The following is a 19422-nucleotide window of genomic DNA, read 5'->3' as shown; positions in this document are numbered from 1 at the left end:
CCATGATTCCATTCAATTCCATTCGATGATTGTTCCATTCGAGTCCATTCGATGATTCCATTCCATTCCATTCGATGATGATTCCATTCAATGACATTCGATGATTCCATTCGATTCCATTCAATGATGATTCCATTCGAGTCCATTCGATGATTCTATTAGATTCCATTTGATGATGATTCCATTTGAGTCCATTCGATGATTTCAATCGATTCCATTCGATGATGATTCCATTCGAGTCTATTCGATGATTCCATTCGATGAGGATTCCAATCGAGCCCATTCAATGATTCCATTCAAGTCCATTCGATTATTCCCTTAGATTCCATTCCTTGATGATTCTATTTGATGCCATTCAATGATTCCATTTGATTCCATTCGATGATGTTTCCATTCGAGTCCATTCGATGATTCCATTCGATTCCATTTGTTGATTGCATTCTTCTCCATTCGATTATTCCATTCGAGTCCATTCGATGATTCCATTTGATTCCATTTGATGATAATTCCATTTGAGTCCATTCGATGATAATTCCATTCGAGTCCATTCGATGATAATTCCATTCAATTCCATTCGATGATTCCATTCGATTCCATTCCATGATTCCCTTCGATTCCTTTCTATGATGATTCCATTCGATTCCATTCATGATGATTCCATTTGATTCCAATCATGATGATTCCATTCGATTCCAGTTGATGATGACTGCATTCGGTTCTATTTGATGATGATTCCAACGGACTCCATTCGATTTCTCCATTTAATTCCATTCGATGATGATTCCATTTGAGTCCTTTCGATGATTCCATTGGATTCCATTTGATGATTCCATTCGAGTCCATTCGCTGATTCCATTCGATGATGATTCCAATCGAGTCCATTCAATGATTCCATTTGAGTCCGTTCGATTATTCCCTTAGATTCCATTCCTTGATGATTCTATTCGATGCCATTCAATGATTCCATTTGATTCCATTCGATGATGTTTCCATTCGAGTCCATTTGATGATTCCATTTGATTCCATTCGATGATTCCATTCTTCTCCATTCGATTATTCCATTCGAGTCCATTCAATGATTCCATTCGAATCCATTCGATGATAATTCCAGTCGAGTCCATTTGATGATGATTCCATTCGATTCCATTCGATGATTCCAATCGATTCCATTCCATGATTCTCTTCGATTCCTTTTGATGATGATTCCATTCCATCCCATTCGATGATAATTCCATTTGATTCCATTCCATGATTACCTTCGATTCCATTCCATGATTACCTTTGATTCCTTTCGATGATGATTCTATTTGATTCCATTCGATGATGATTCCATCTGATTCCATTCGATGATTCCATTTGATTCCATTCGATGATGATTCCATTCGTTTCCATCTGATGATGATTCCATTCGATTCCATTTGATGATTCCATTCGAGTAAATTCAATTTTTCCATTTGATACCATTCGATGATGATTCCATTTGAGTCCATTCCATGATTCCATTCGAGTCCATTCAATGATTCCATTCGAGTCCATTCAATGATTCCATTTGTTTCCATTTGATGATGATTACATTCGAGTCCATTCGATGTTTCCATTTGATTCCATTTGATGATGATTCCATTCGAGTCCATTCAATGATTCCATTCGATTCCATTCAATGAAGATTCCATTCTAGTACATTCGATGATTATTCCATTCGATTCTATTCGATTATTCCTTGTGATTCCATTTGATGATGATTCCATTCGAGACCATTCAATGATTACATTGAATTCATTTGATAATGATTCCGTTCAATTCCATTCAATGATTCCATTAGATTCCATTTGATGATGGTTCCATTCAATTCCATTTGATGATGATTCCATGCGATTCCATTCGATGATGACTCCTTTCGGTCCATTCGATGACGATTCCATTTGGTTGCATTCAATGATGATTCCTTTGGATTCCATTCCATGATGATTCCATTCGATTCCATTTGCTGATGATTCTTTTCTATTCAAGTCGGTGATGATTCCATTCGATTGCATTCGATGATGTTTCCATTCAATTCCATTCAATGATTCCATTCGTTTCCATTCAATGATGATTCCATTCGAGTTCATTGATTATTCCATTACATTCCATTCGATGATTCCATTAGAGTCCATTCGATGATTCTATTCGATTCCATTCAATAATTCCATTCGATTCCATTTGATGATGATTCCATTCGAGTCCATTCGATGATTATTCCATTCGATTCTATTCGGTGATTACATTCGATTGCATTTGATAATTATTCCTTTCGAGACCATTCGATGATTCCATTCAATTCATTCTGTGATGATACCATTCAATTCCATTCAATGATTCAATTTGAGTCCATTTGATGATTCCATTCGAGTCTATTCAACAAAGATTCTGTTCAATTCCATTCGATGATGATTGCATTTGGGTCCATTTGATGATTCCATTCACTTCCATTCGATGGGGATTCCATTCGTCTCCATTTGATTATTCCATTCGATTCCATTCAATGAGGATTCCATTACTGTCCATTAGATGATTCCATTTGATTCCATTTGATGATGATTCCATTCGATTCCATTCGTTAATTCCATTTCATTCCATTGGATGATGATTCCATTCATGTCCATTTGATGATTCTTTTCGAATCCATTCGATTTTTGCTTTTGATTCCATTTGATGATGATTCCATTCGATACCATTCTATGGTTCCATTTGATTCTATTCGATGATGATTCCATTTGATTTCATTGGATGGTTCTATTTGATTCTGTTTGAGATGATTGCATTCGATTCCATTCGATGATTCAATTCGATTCCATTCGATGATGATTCCATTCGATTCCATCCGATGGTTCCATTCGATTCCATTTGATGATTCCATTTGATTCCATTCGATGATGATTCCATTGGATTCCATTTGATGACTCCATTCCATTCCATTCAATGAGGATTCCATTCGATGTCATTCAATGATTCCATTCGATTCCATTTGATTATGATTCCATTCCAGTACCTTCGATGATTCCATTAGATTCCATTTGATGATGATTCCATTCGAGTCCATTCGATGATTCCATTCCATTCCATTCGATGATGATTCCATTTGAGTCCATTCGATGATTCCATTCCATTCCATTCGATGATGATTCCACTCGAGTCCATTCGATGATTTCATTCCATTCCATTCAATGATGATTCCATTTGAGTCCATTTGATGATTCCATTCGATTCCATTCGATGATGATTCCACTCGAGTCCATTCGATTATTCCATTCGAGTCCATTCGATTATTCCTTAAGATTCCATTCATTGATTATTCTATTCAATGTCATTCGATGATTCCATTCGATTCCATTCAATGATGATTCCATTTGAGTCCATTCGATGATTCCATTTGATTCCATTAAATGATGATTCCATTCGTGTCTATTCAATTATTCCATTTGATTCTATTCCTTGATGATTCCATTCGAGTCCTTTTGATGATTCCATTCTTTTCCATTTGATGGTGATTCCATTTGAATCCATTCGATGATTCCATTCGATTCCATTCTATGATTCCCTTCTATCCCATTTGATGATTCCCTTTGATTCCATTCGATGATCATTCCATTCAATTCAGTGATCCCATTGGATTCCATTCAATGATGATTCCATTAGATTACACTCCATGATGATTCCATTCGGTTCCATGTGATGATGATGCCATGAGATTCCATTCGATGATTCCATGCTATTCCATTCGTTGATGATTCCATTTGATTCCATTAGACGATGATTCCATTCGATTCCATTCGTTGATGATTCCATTCGATTCCATTCGATGATGATTCCGTTCCTTTTCATTTGATGATTCTATTCGATTGCATTCGATGATGATTCCTTTCTATTCCATTTGATGATTCCATTCGATTCTATCCAATGAGGATTCAAATAGATTCCGTTTGATGATGATTCCATTCAATGATGTTTCCATTCGATTCCATTCGATGTTTCCATTCGATTCCATTCGATGATGATTCCATTCGATTCCATTCGATGATTCCATTTGAGTCCACTTGATGATTCCTTTCGGTTCCATTTGATGATGATACCATTGGATTCCATTCATTGATGATTCCATTTGATTCCATTCCATGATGATTCCATTCGAGTCCATTTGATCATGATTCCGTCGATTCTTTTCGATGATTCCATTCAATACCATTCGATGATGATTCCATTTGTGTCCATTCTATGATTCCATTTCATTTCATTAGATGATGATTCCTTTGGTTTCCATTCAATGATGGTTCCATTCGAGTCCATTCAATTTTTCCATTCGATTTCATTCGATGATGATTCCATTCGAATCTATTCAATGATTCCATTTGAGTCCATTTGATGATTCCATTCGGTTCCATTTGATGATGATACCACTGGATTCCATTCTTTGATAATTCCATTCAACTCCATTCGATGATGATCCCATTTGATTCCATTCGATGATGATCCCATTTGATTCCATTCGATGATGATTCCACTCGATTCCATTCGATGATGATTCCATTCCATTTCATTCGATGATGATTTCATTCAAGTCCATTTGATGATTCCATTCGATTCCATTCAATGCTGATTCCAATCGAGTCCATTCGATGATTCCATTAGAGTCCATTCGATGATTCCATTTGAGTCCATTTGATGATTCCATTCAATTCCATCCAATGATGATTCCATTCAAGTCCATTCAATGTTTCCATTAGATTCCTTTCGATGATGATTCCATTCGAGTCCATTCAATGATTCCATTCGAGCCCATTTGATCATTCCATTCCATTCCGTTTGATGATGATTCCATTGGATTCCATTTGTTGATGATTCCATTCGATTCCATTCGATGATGATTCCATTTGATTCCATTTGTTGATGATTCCATTATATTCCATTCGATTCTGATTCCATTCGATGATGACTCCATTTGTTTTCATTCAATGTTTCTATTCAATTCCATTCGATGATGATTCCTTTCTATTCCATTTGATGATTCCATTCGATTCCATCCGATGAGGATTCAAATCAATTCCGTTTGATGATGATTCCATTCAATTCCATTCAATGAAAATTCCATTCGTGTCCATTTGATTATTCCATTCATTTTCATTCGATGATGATTCCATTCGCATCCATTAGATGACTCCATTCGATTCGATTCGATGATGATTTCATTCGATGCCATTTGATGATTCCATTTGATTCCATTCGATGATGATTCCATACGATTCCATTCGATGATTCCATTCGATTATGATTGCATTCAATTCCATTCACTGATTCCATTTGATTCCATTTGATGATGATTTCATTCGAGTCCATTTGACGTTTCCATTCCATTCCATTCAATGATGGTTCATTCGATTCCGTTTGATGATTCTATATGATTCCATTTGATGATTCCATTCGAGTCCATTTGATGATTCCATTCGATGAAGTTTCCATTCAAGTCCATTTGATGATGATTCCATTGGATTCCATTCGATGATTTCTTTCTATTCCATTCAATGATTCACTTCGATTCCTTTAGATGATGATTCCTTTCAATTCCATTCGATGATGATTCCATTCTATTCAATTCGATGATGATTCCATTCGATTCCATTCGATAATTCCATTTGATTCCATTAGATGATGATTCCATTCGATTCCATTTGTTGATTCCATTCGATTCCTTTGGATGATGATTCTTTTCGAATCCATTTGATGGTGACTCTATTCAATTCCATTCGATTATTCCATTAATTTCCATTCGATGATGATTGCATTGCATTCCATTCGATGATTGCATTCGATTCCATGTGATGAGTATTCCATTCGAGTCCATTCGATGATTCCATTTGATTCTATTCCATGAGGATTCCATTCGTGTCCATTCTATGACACAATTCGATTCCTTTCAATGAAGATTCCATTCCAGTTCATGAGATGATTCCATTCGATGATGATTTCATTTGATTCCTTTCGATTTTTCCATTCGATTTCATTCGATGATGTTTTTATTCGAGTCCATCGATGATTCCATTCGATTCCATTCAATGATTATTCCTTTCGAGTCCTTTCAAAGATTCCATTCGATTCCATTAGATTATGATTCCATTCGGATCCATTCGATGATTCTATTAGATTCCATTCGATGATTCCATTCTATTCCATTCGATGATTCCCTTCGATTCCATTTGATGATCATTCCATTCGATTCCATTCGATGATTTCATGTGATTCCAATCAATGATGATTCCATCCGAGGCCATTCGATGATTCCATTTGATTCCATTCAATGGTGATTCCATCCGATGCCATTCAATGATTCCATTCGATTTCATTCAATGATGATTCCATTCGATTTCATTCAATGATGATTCCATTCGATTCCATTTGATGGTGATTCCATTCGAGTCCATTCAATGATTCTGTTCAGTTCCATTCGATGACAATTGCATTCGAGTCTATTCGATGATTCCATTCGAATCCATTCGATGATGATTCCATGCAATGATTCCATTCGATTCCATTCTATGATTCCATTTGAGTTCATTTGATGTTTCCATTTGATTCCATTTGATGATTGCATTCGATTCTATTTGATGATGAGTCCATTCTATTCAATTCCATGAGTATTCCATTCGATTCAATTCGATGATATTTCCATTCGAGTCCATTCGATGATTCCATTCGATGATTCCATTCCATTGCATTAGATGATGGTTACATTCACTGCCATTCGATGATTCCATTCAATTCCATTTGATGATGATTCCATTTGAGCCCATTCAATGATTCCATTCGATTCCATTTGATGATTATTCCATTCTATTCCATTCGATGATTCCATTCAATTCCATTTGTTGATGATTCCATTCGATGATTCCATTCCATTCCATTCGATGATGATTCCAATCGAGTCCATTTGATGATTCCTTTCGATTCCATTCGATGATGATTCCATTAAAGTCCATTCAATGATTCCATTCGATTCCATTCAATGATGATTCCTTTTGAGTCCATTCAATGATACCATTTGATTCCATTCGATGATGATTCCATTTGAGTGCACTCCATAATTCCATTCATTTCCGTTCGATGATTGTTCCATTCAATGCCATTCCTTGATGAATCCTTTCCATTCCATTTGATGATGACTCCTTTTGATTACATTTGTTGATGCTTCCATTCGATTCCATTCGATGATGACTCCATTCAATGATGATTCCATTCAATTCCATTAGATGATTCCTTTCAATGATTATTCCATTCAATTCCATTCCATGATTATTCCCTTCGATTCATTTTGATGATGATTCCATTCAATTCCATTAGATGATGATTCCACTCAAGTCCGTTTAATGATTCCATTCGCTTGCATTCAATCATTCCATTCGAGTCCATTCAAAGATTCCGTTAGTTTCCATTAGATGATGATACCATTCGAGTCCATTCCATGATTCCATTCAATTCCATTTGATGATGATTCCATTCGAGTCCACTCAATGATTCCATTCGATTCTACTCGATGATGATTCCATTCGATTCCATTCGATGATCATTCCATTCGATGCCATTCAATGATTCCATTCATGTCCATTCGATGATTATTCCATTTGAGTTCATTCGATGAGTCCATTCGATTCCATTCGATGATGATTCCATTCGTTTCCATTCAATGGTGACTCCATTCGATTGCATTTGATGATGACTCCTTCCAATTCCATTCTATGATTCCATTTAATTCCGTTCGATGATGATTCCATTCGAGTCCATTCGATGATTTCATTCGATTCCATTCTATTATTCAATTCGTTTCCATTCGATGATGATTCCATTCGATTCCATTCAATGATAATTAGATTCGATTACTTTTGATGATTCTATTCGATTCCATTGATGATTCCTTTCAAGCCCATTTGATGATTTCATTCGAGTCCATTCGATGACTCCATACGATTCCATTTGATGATGATTCCATTAGAGTAAATTTGATGATGATTCCATTCGTTTCCATTTGATGATTCCATTCGATTCCATTTGATGATTCACTTCGATTCCATTTGATGATGATTCCATTCGATTCCATTTGATGATTCCATTCAATTACATTTGATGACGATTCCATTCGATTCCATTCGATGATGATTCCATTAGTTTCCATTCGATGATTCCATTCAATTCCATTAATTGATGATTATTCTATTCGATTCCATTCGATGATGATTCCATTTGATTCCATTCGATGATTCCTTTCGATTCCATTTGATGATTCACTTCGATTCCTTTTGATGATGATTCCATTCGATTCCATTCGGTGATTCCAATCGATTCTATTCGATGATCATTCCATTCGACTCCATTCAATGATGATTCCATTCGAGTCCATTCGAAGATTCCATTTGATTCCATTTGATGATGATTCCATTCGATACCATTCTGTGATCCCACTCTATTCCATTCAATGATGATTCCATTCGATTCCATTTGATAATTCCATTCGATTCCATATGATGATTATTCCATTCGTTTCCGTTTGATGATTCCATTCGATTTCATTCAATGATGTTTCCATTAGAGTCCATTCAATGATTCCATTCCATTCCATTCGATGATTATTCCATTAGAGTTCATTCGAAGATTCCTTTCAATTCAATTTGGTGATGATTCCATTCGAGTCCAATTGATGATTCCTTTCAATTCTGTTCGATGATACCATTCGATTCCATTTGATTATTCCCATTGATTCCATTCGATGTTCATTCTATTCTATTCCAGTCGATCGTTCCATTCAGTTCCATTCGATGATGATTCCATTCGATGACGATTCATTTGTTTCCATTTGATGATGACTCCATTCGATTCAATTCGGTGGTGACTCCATTAGGTTCCATTTGATGATGATTCCATTCTGTCCCATTCGATGATGATTCCATTAGATTCTGTTCGATGATTCCATTTGATTACATTCGTTGATGGTTTCATTCAATTCCATTCGATGATGATTCCATTCAATTCCATTCGATGATGATTCAATTCGATTTCATTCAATAATTCCATTCGATTCCATTCGATGATGATTCCATTCTGTTCCATTCGATGATTCCATTCGATTCCATTCGATGATGATTCCATTCGAGTCCATTCCATTCCATTCCATTCGAGTCCATTTCATTCCACTACATTCCATTCCATTCGAGTTCATTCCATTCCGTTACATTCCATTCCATTCGAGTCCATTCAATTCTATTCCATTCCAATCGATTCCATTCCACTCCATTGCTTTTGAGTCCATTCCATTCCATTCGAGTGCATTCCTTTCCATTGCATTCGAGTCCATTCCATTCCATGCTATTCCATTTGAGTCCATTCCATTCCATTCAATTCGAACCCATTCCATTCCATTCCATTCCATTCCATTCCATTCCATTCCATTCCATTTTAGCACAATCCATTCCATTCCATTCAATTCGAGTCCATTCCATTCCAATCCATTCCATTCAGGTCCAATCCATTCAATCCCACTCGAGTCAATTCCATTCCATTCCATTCGAGTCCATTCCATTGCATTCCATTCCATTCGAGTCCATTCCATTCCATTCGAGTCTATTCCATTCCATTCGAGTCCATTCCACTCGAGTCCATTCCATACCATTACATTCCCTCCGACTCAAATCCATTCCATTCCATTCCATTCCATTCGAATCCACTCCTCTCCATTCCATTCGAGTGCATTCCGTTCCATTCCTTTCCACTCGAGACCTTTCCATTCTATTCGAGTCCATTCCATTCTGGTGAATTCCTTTCCATTCCATTCTATAACAGTCCATTCCATTCCATTCCATTCATGTCCATTCCATTCCATAACATTCGAGTCCATTCCATTCAATTCAACTCCATTCGTGTCCATTCCATTCCATTCCACTTGAGTCCATTCCATTCCATTCCATTCGAGATCATTCCATTCCATTCCAATCTATTCGAGTCCATTCCATTACATTCGAGTCCATTCCATTCCATTTCATTTGAGTCCCTTCCATTCAATTCCATTCATTTCCACTTGAGTCCATTGCATTCCATTCCATTCCATTTGAGTCCATTCCATTCCATTCCATTCCATTCCTCTCCATTCCATTACATTTCATTTCATTCCATTCCGTTCTATTCCTTTTGGCTCCATTCCATTCCATTCCATTCAAGTCCACTCCAATCCATTCGATTCGAGTCTATTCCATTACATTGCATGCCATTCGAGTTCATTCCACTGCATTCCCTTTCATTCGAATCTATTCCATTCCATTCCACTCCAATCTATTCCATTCCATTTGAGTCCATTCCAGTTCGTTCGAGTCCATTCCATTCCATTTCATTCAAGTCCACTTCATTCCACTAAGTTCCGTTCGATTCCATTCCATTCCATTCCATTCCATTCCATTCCATTCCATTCCTTTCCATTCTTTTCGGGTCCATTCAATTCAAATGCATTCCATTTGATTGCATACCATTCCATTCCATTCCATTCCGTTCCAATCCCTTCCATTCCGTTCAAGTCCATTCCATTCCATTCCATTCCATCGAGTCCATTTCATTCCATTACATTCCATTTCGTTCGAGTTCATTCCATTCTGTTACATTCCATTCCATTCGAGTCAATTCAATTCCGTTCCATTCCATTCGAGTCCATTCCACTCCATTCCGTTCGAGTCCATTCCATTCCATTCGAGTCCATTCCATTCCATTGCATTCGAGTCCATTCCATTCCAATGTATTCCATTTGAGTCCATTCCATTCCATTCCATTTGAATCCATTCCATTCCATTCCATTCCATTCCATTTGAGCCCAAACCATTCCATTCCATTCAATTCGAGTCCATTCCATTCCAATCCATTCCACTCGGGTTCACTCCATTCAATTGCATTAGAGTCAATTCCATTCCATTCCATTCGAGTCCATTCCATTCCATTCCATTCAATTCGAGTCCATTCCATTCCATTCCATTCGAGTCCATTCCATTCCATTCCTTTCGAGTCCATTCAATTCCATTGGATTCCATTCCATTCCTTTCCATTCGATTCCATTCCATTGCATTCCATTCCATCCGCGTCTATTCCATTCTATTACATTGGAGTCCATTCCATTCCATTCCATTAGAGTCCATTACATTAAATTCTATTGTATTCCTTTCGAGTCCATTCCATTCCATTCCATTCTATTCCATTCAAGTCCATTCCATTCCATTGCATTCCATACCATTCCAATCCTTTCCATTCCATTCCATTCCATTGCATTCCATTGCATTCGTGTCCTTTCCAATCCATTCAATTCGTTTCCATTCCATTCCATCCTATTCCATTCATGTGCTTTCCTTTCCATAGCTTACCATTCCATTTCATTCCTTTCCATTCCATTCCATTCGTTTCCATTCCAATCGATCCCATTCCATTCGTGTCAGTTCCATTCCATTCCATTGGACTTCATTAAATTCCATTCCGCTCCATTCGGGTCCATTCCATTCCACTGCATTCCATTCGCCTCCATTTCTTTCCATTCTATTCCATTCCATTCTGGTTCATTCCAATTCATTCCATTCCATTCGAGTCCATTCCTTTCCATTCCTTTCCATTTCATTCAGGTTCATTCCATTCCATTCTATTCGAGACCATTCCATTCCATTCCTTTCCATTTCATTCAGGTTCATTCCATTCCATTCTATTCGAGACCATTCCATTCCATTCCATTCCATTGGATTCCATTCCATTCCATTCCATTCGATTCCATTCCATTCCATTCCATTCGATTCCATTCCATTCCATTCCATTCCATTCGATTCCATTCCATTCCATTCCATTCAATTCGATTCCATTCCATTCCATTCCATTCCATTCGATTCCATTCCATTCCATTCCATTCAATTCGGGTCCATTCCATAGCACTCCATTCCATTCGAATCCATTCCATTCTATTCCATTCGATTCCATTACATTCCATTCTTTTCGAGTACATTCCATTCCATTCTATTCTATTCCATTCGATTCCATTCCATTGAATTCCATTCCATTCGTGTCCATTCCGTTCCATTCGAGTCCATTCCATTCCGTTCTATTTGATTTAAGTTCTTTCCATTCTGTTCCATTTGAGTCCATTCCATTCCACTCTATTACATTCCATTCCATTAGAGTTCATTCAGATCCATTCCATTCCATTCGAGTCCATTCCATTCCAATCCATTCCTTTCGGTTCCATTCCTTTCAATTCCATTCAAATCAATTCCATTCCATTCCATTCGAGTCCTTTCCATTGCATTCCATTCCATTCCTTTTGAGACGGTTCAATTCCATTCCATTCCATTCTAGTCCATTCCATTGCATACCATTCCATTGGCATCCATTCCATTCTATTCCATTCGAGTCCATTCCATTACATTCCATTAGAGTCCATCACATTCCATTAAATTACATTGTATTCCATTCAAGTCCATTCCATTCCATTCTATTCAATTCGTCTCCATTCCATTCCATTCGAATCCATTCCATTCCATTCCATTCATCTTCATTCCATTCCATTCGAATCCATTCCATTCCTTTCGAGTCCATTCCATTCCATTCCATTCCATTCTATTCCATTCAAGTCCATTCCATTCCACATCATTCCATTCCATTCCAGTCCATTCCATTCCAGTCGAGTCCATTCCATTCCATTCCATTCGAGTCCATTCCATTCCATTCCATTCCACTCCAGTCCATTATATTCAATTCCATTTGACTCCTTTCCATTCCATTCCATTCCATTCCTTTAAGGTCCATTGCATTCCATTCCATTCGAGTTCATTTCATTCCATTCCATTCCATTCCTGTCCATTCCATTCCATTCCATTCCATTCCATTCCATTCCAGACACTTCGTTTCAATTCCATTCCATTCCTTTCGAATCCATTCCATTCCATCCGAGTCCATTCCATTCCATTCCATTCGATACCATTCCATTCCATTCCAGACACTTCGTTTCAATTCCATTCCATTCCTTTCGAATCCATTCCATTCCATCCGAGTCCATTCCATTCCATTCCATTCGATACCATACCATTCCATTTGAGTCCATTCCGTTCCATTCTATTCCATTCCATTGTATTCCATTCCAATCCATTCCATTCCCTTCCATTTGAGTCCATTGCAATTCATTCCATTCGAATCCATTCCATTTCCACCCATTTCATTCGAGTCCATTCCATTCGATTCCATTCGAATTCATTCCATCCAATTCCATTCCATTCGTGCACATGCCACTCTATTCCATTCCATTCCATTTGAGTCCATTCCATTCATTCCATTCCATTTGGGTCTATTCCATTCAATTTCGTTTGAGTCAATTCCATTCCATTGCATTCGAGTCCATTCCATTGCAGTCCATTGCATTCGAGTCCTTTCCATTCCATTCCATTTGAGTCCATTCCATTGCATTCCATTCCATTCGAATGCCTTCCATTCTGTTCCATTTGATTCCATTCCATTGTATTCCATTACATGCTTTTTGAGTCCATTCCATTCCATTCCATTCCATTCCAGTGCATTCCACTCTATTCCATTCGAGTCCATTCCATTCCATTCCATTAGAGTCAATTCCATTGAATTCCATTGTATTCCATTCGAGTCCTTTCCGTTACATTCCATTCCTGTTTGTGTCCATTCCATTCCATTCGAGTCCATTCCTTTCAATTCCTTTCGAGTCCATTCCATTCCATTCCATTCTATTCCATTCAAATCCATTCCATTCCACATCATTCCATTCCATTCCATTCCATTCCATTCCGTTCCATTCCATTCCATTCGGGTTGCTTCCATTCCATTCAATTCGAGTCCATTCCATTCCAATCCATTCCATTCCATTTCATTCTAGTCCATTCCATTCCATTCCATTCAAGTCCATTCCATTCTATTCCATTCCATTCCATTCCATTCCAGTCCATTCCATTCCATTCCAGTCCACTCTAGTTGTTTCCATTCCATTCCATTCCTTTCGAGTCCATTCCATTCCGTTCAAGTCCATGCCACTCCATTCCATTCATGTCCATTCCATTCCATTCAATTCCTTTCCTGTCCACTCTAGTTGTTTCCATTCCATTACATTCCTTTTGAGTCCATTCCATTCCATTCAAGTCCATGCCATTCCATTCCATTCGTGTCCATTCCATTCCATTCAATTCCATTCCTCTCGAGTCCATTCCATTCCATTCCATTCCATTCGAGTCCATTCCATTCCATTCTATTCCATTAAATTCCATTCCATTCCATTCCATTCAATTCCATTCCATTCCATGCAAATCCATTCGACTCCATTTCATTCCGTTCCATTCTAGTCCATTCCATAACATTACATTCTGTTCGATTGAAGTCCATTCCATTCCATTCCATTCCCTTTGTGTCCATTCCATTCCATTCGAGTCCATTCCATTCCATTCCATTCGAGTCCATTCCATTCCATTCCATTCGAGTCCATTCCATTCCCTTCCATTCCATTTTATTCGAGTCCATTCATTTTTATTCCATTCGAGTCTATTCCTTTGCATTCCATTCGAGTCCATTCCATTCCATTCCTTTCCATTCCAGTCCATTCAATTCCTTTCCATTCAAGTCCTTTCCATTTCACTCCATTCCAATCAATTCGAGTGCATTCCACTCCATTTCATTCCCCTCTAATCCATTCAATTCCATTCCATTCCATTCAGGTCCATTCTATTCTATTCTCTTCGGGTCAGTTCCATTCCATTCCATTCAAGCCCTTTCCATTGCATTCCATACCATTCCTTTTGAGATCATTCAAATGCATTCCATTCCATTCGATTCTATTCCATTCCATGCCATATAATTCAAGTCCATTCGTTTCCATTACATTCCATTCGGGTGCATTCCATTCTATTCCCTTCCAGTCAGTTCCATTATATTCCATTCGAGTCCATTGCATTGCATTCCATTCCACTCCTTTCGAGACAATTCAATTCCTTTCCATTCCATTTGAATCCATGACATTCCACTCCTTTCGAGTCTATTCCATTGCATTCCATTCTATTAGAGTCCATTCCATTCTATTCAGTTAGAGTCCATTCCATTCCATTAGATTCCATTCCATTAGTGTCCGTTCAATTAAATTCCATTCCATTCCATTCGAGTCCTTTCCATTCCATTTGAGTCCATTCCATTCCATTCCCTTCGAGTCCATTCCATTCCATTCCATTCTCTCCCATTCCATTCCATTCCATTCCATTCAATTCCATTCCATTCCAGTACATTCCATTCCATTACATTCCAGTACATTCCATTCTATTCCATTCCAGTACATTCCAATCTGGTCCATTCCTTTCAATTCTATTCGAGTCCATTCCATTCCATTCCATTCGAGTCCCTTCCATTCCATACCACTGGAGTCCATTCCATTCCACAACATTCCTTTCCATTCCATTCCATTCTATTTCATTCGAGTCCATTCCATTCCCTTTGTGTCCTTTCCATTCCATTCCATACTATTCCATTCAAGTCCATTCCACTCCATTTCATTCCATTCCAATCCATTCCATTCCATTCCATTCCTTTCCATTCCATTCCATTCCATTTGGGTGAATTCCTTTCCATTCCATTCAAGTCCATTCCATTGCATTCATGTCCATTTCATTCGAGACCATTCCATGTCACTCCATTCTATTCCATTCGAGTCCATTCCATTCCACTCCATTCCATTCTAGTACATTACATTCTATTCCGTTCTATTTCATTTGAGTCCATTCTGTTCTGTTCCATTCCATTCGAGTCCATTACATTCCATTGGCATCCATTCCATTTCATTCCATTCCAGTCCATTCCATTCAATTCGATACCATTTGATTCTATTCCATTCCATTCCATTCATGGCCATTCCATTCCAACCCATTTCATTTGAGTACATTCCATTCCCTTCCGTTCGAATCCCTTCTATTCCATTCCATTCCATTTGAGTCCATTCCACTCCATTCATTTCCATTCAAGTCTATTCCATTCCATTCCATTCCATTACTTTCCATTCGATTCGAGTAAATTCCATTACATTTTGTTCCTGTCGTTTCCATTCCTTTCGAGTCCATTCCATTCCATTCCATTCGAGTCCATTCCATTCCATTCCTTTCCATTCCATCCCATTCCAGTCCATTAAATTCGAGTCCAAATCATTCCATTCCATTCCAGTCAAGTCCATTCTATTCCATTGCATTTGAGTCCATTCCACTCCATTCCATTCGAGTCCATTCCATTCCACACAATTCTATTCCATTCCAATCCATTCCATGCGACTCCATTCCATTCTATTCCATTAGAGTCCATTCCATTCCATTATAGTCCATTCCATTAAATTCCAATATATTCCATTTGCGTCCGGTCCACTCCATTCCATTCAATTCGTTGCCTTTCCATTCCTTTGGAGTTCATTTCTTTCCATTCCTTTTGAAATCATTCCATTCCTTCCCATTCTATTCCATTCAAGTCCTTTCCAATCCATACCATCCCATTCCATTCCATTCCATTCCATTGCATTCCATTCCACTCCTTTCCACTCGGGTACATTCCTTTTCATTCCATTCGAGTGCATTCCATTCCATTGCACTCCATTCTGGTCCATTCAGTTCCATTCCCTTCCATTCCATTCGCGTCCATTCTGTTCCATTCCATTCCATTCCATTCGGTTCCATTCCATTCCATTCCAATGGAGTCAATTCCATTCCATTTGATTCCATTCCATTCCATTCCATTCCACTCGAGTCGTTTCCATTCCATTCCACTCCATTCGTGTCCATTCCATTCCATTCGTGTCCATTCCATTCCATTCCATATGAGTCCATCCAATTCCATTCCATTCCATTCCATTCCATTCCATTCCATTCCATTCCATTCCGTTCCATTCCATTCCATTCCATTCTATTCCACTCCATTCCATTCTATTCCACTCCATTCCATTCCATGAGGGTTCATTCCATTCCATTCCATTCCATTGGAGTCCATTTCATTCCATTCCATTCCATTCCATGCCATTCCATTCCATACCATTACATTCCATTCGATTTGAGTCCATGAATTTTTTTTCCATTCCATTCAACTCCATTCCACTCCATTGCTTTCGAGTCCATACCATTCCATTCCTTTCCATTCGAGTCCTTTCCACTCCATTCGAGTACATTCCATTCCATTTGATTCGAGTCCATTCCATTCCATTCGGGTCTATTCTATTCCATTCGATTCCATTCGAGTCAATTCCATTCCATTTCTTTCGATTCCATTCCATTGTATTCCATCCCTTTCGAGTCTATTCCATTCCAATCCTTTTGTGTCCATTCCATTCCATTCCTTTCGTATCCATTCCATTCCATTCGAGTGCAATCTATTCCATTCCGTTCGATGCAATTCCACTCATTCCATTTCATTCAAGTCTATTCCATTCCATTCCATTGCATTCCATTCGAGTCCATTCCATTCCACTCGAGTCCATTGATTCCATTCTATTCCACTCGAGTCCACTCCATTCCATTCAAGTCCATTCCCTTCCATTTCATTCGAGTCCATTCCATTCAATTCCATACTATTCGATTCAAGTCCATTCCATTCCATTCCATTCTATTCCATTCATGTCCATTCCATTCCATTCGAGTCCATCCCATTCCATTTTATTTGATTCTATTGCATTCCATTCCATTCCATTCCATTAGAGTCCATTCCATTGTATTCCAATCCAGTAAATTCTGTTCTAATCCATTCGAGCCCATTCCATTTCATTTCATTCCATTCGAGTGCATTCCATTCAATTTGAGTCCATTCCATTCCATTCCATTCCATTCCAATCAATTCCATTCCATTCCATTCCATTCCATTCCATTCCAATCAATTCCATTCCATTCCATTCCATTCCATTCCATTCCATTCCATTCCATTCCATTCCTCTCCATTCCATTCCATTTTATTCCATTCCATTCCTTTCTATTCCATTCCATTCCTTTTGTGTCCATTCCATTTGATTAGAGTTCATTCCATTCGATTCGATGCCATTACAAACCATTCCATTCGAGTCCATTCCATTCCATTCCATTCGAGTCCATTCATTTCCATTCCATTCCATTCCATTCCATTCGAGTCCATTCCATTCCATTGCTTTCCTTTCGAGTCTATTTCATTTCATTACATTCCACTTGGGTCCATTCCATTGCATTCCCTCGAGTCCATTCCATTCCTTTCCATTCTATTTCAATCCATTCCATTCCATTCTATTGTATTCCATTCCATTCCATTCCATTCCATTCCATTCCATTCCATTCCATTCCATGCTATTCCATTCCATTCCGTTCCATTTCATTCCATTTCTGTCCTTTCCCTTCCATTCCATTCTACTGGAGTCCATTCCACTCAATTCCATTCTAGTCCATTCCATTTCACTCCATTCAATTTGACTCCCTTTCATACTTTTCCATTCGAGTCCATTCCATTGCATTCCATTTGAGTCCATTCCATTCCCTTCTATTCTTTTCTATTTGTGAGCATTCAATTCCACTCCTTTAGAGTCCATTCCATTAAATTCCAATCTATTCCATTCGTGTCCTTTCCATTCCATTCCATTCCATTCGTGGCCTTTCCATTCCATTGGACTCCATTCCATTTCATTCCTTTTGAATTCTTTCCATTCCATCCAATTCTGTTCCATTGAAGTCCATTCCAATACATACCATTCCATTCCACTGCATTCCATTCCATTCCATTCCGTTCCGTTCCGTTCCATTCCATTCCATTCCATTCCATTCCGTTCCATTCTGTTCCATTCCATTCCATTCCATTCCATTCCATTCCATTCCATTCCGTTCCATTCCATTCCATTCCATTCCTTTTGGGTCCATTCCATTTCATTAGAGTCCATTCCATTCCATTTGATGCCATTACAAACCATTCCATTCGAGTCCATTCCATTCCATTCCCTTCGATTCCTTTCAATTCCATTCCATTCAATTCGAGTCCATGCCATTCCATTCCATTCGTTTCCTTTCGAGTCTATTCCATTTCATTACATTCAACTTGCGTCCACTCCATTGCATTCCATTCGTGTCCTTTCCATTCCATTCCATTCGATTTCAATCCATTCCATTCCATTCTATTCCATTCCATTCCATTCTATTCCATTCCATTCCATTCCATTCCATTCCATTCCATTCTATTCCATTCCATTCCACTACATTTCATTCCTTTCCTGTCCTTTCCCTTCCATTCCATTCTATTCGAGTCCATTCCACTCAATTCCATTCTAGTCCATTCCATTCCACTCCATTCAATTTGACTCCATTCCATTCTTTTCCATTCGAGTCCATTCCATTGTATTCCATTCGAGTCCAT

At 38.1% G+C, this 19422-nt stretch overlaps 2 annotated features.

Moving 5' to 3' along the window:
• Positions 220-1047: an enhancer, noted in NCBI's record as "NANOG hESC enhancer chr22:16851289-16852116 (GRCh37/hg19 assembly coordinates)". NCBI's record gives its function as "activates a minimal SCP1, AML or CMV promoter by ChIP-STARR-seq in naive H9 embryonic stem cells {active_cell/tissue: H9 hESC(naive)}" and the evidence as "EXISTENCE:reporter gene assay evidence [ECO:0000049][PMID:30033119]".
• Positions 1048-1876: an enhancer, noted in NCBI's record as "OCT4-NANOG hESC enhancer chr22:16850460-16851288 (GRCh37/hg19 assembly coordinates)". NCBI's record gives its function as "activates a minimal SCP1, AML or CMV promoter by ChIP-STARR-seq in naive H9 embryonic stem cells {active_cell/tissue: H9 hESC(naive)}" and the evidence as "EXISTENCE:reporter gene assay evidence [ECO:0000049][PMID:30033119]".

The sequence above is a fragment of the Homo sapiens genome, chromosome 22 (genome assembly GCF_000001405.40).
Source record: "Homo sapiens chromosome 22, GRCh38.p14 Primary Assembly".
Taxonomy (NCBI): Eukaryota; Metazoa; Chordata; class Mammalia; order Primates; family Hominidae; genus Homo; species Homo sapiens.
This window is presented reverse-complemented; position numbering and strand designations above follow the sequence as displayed.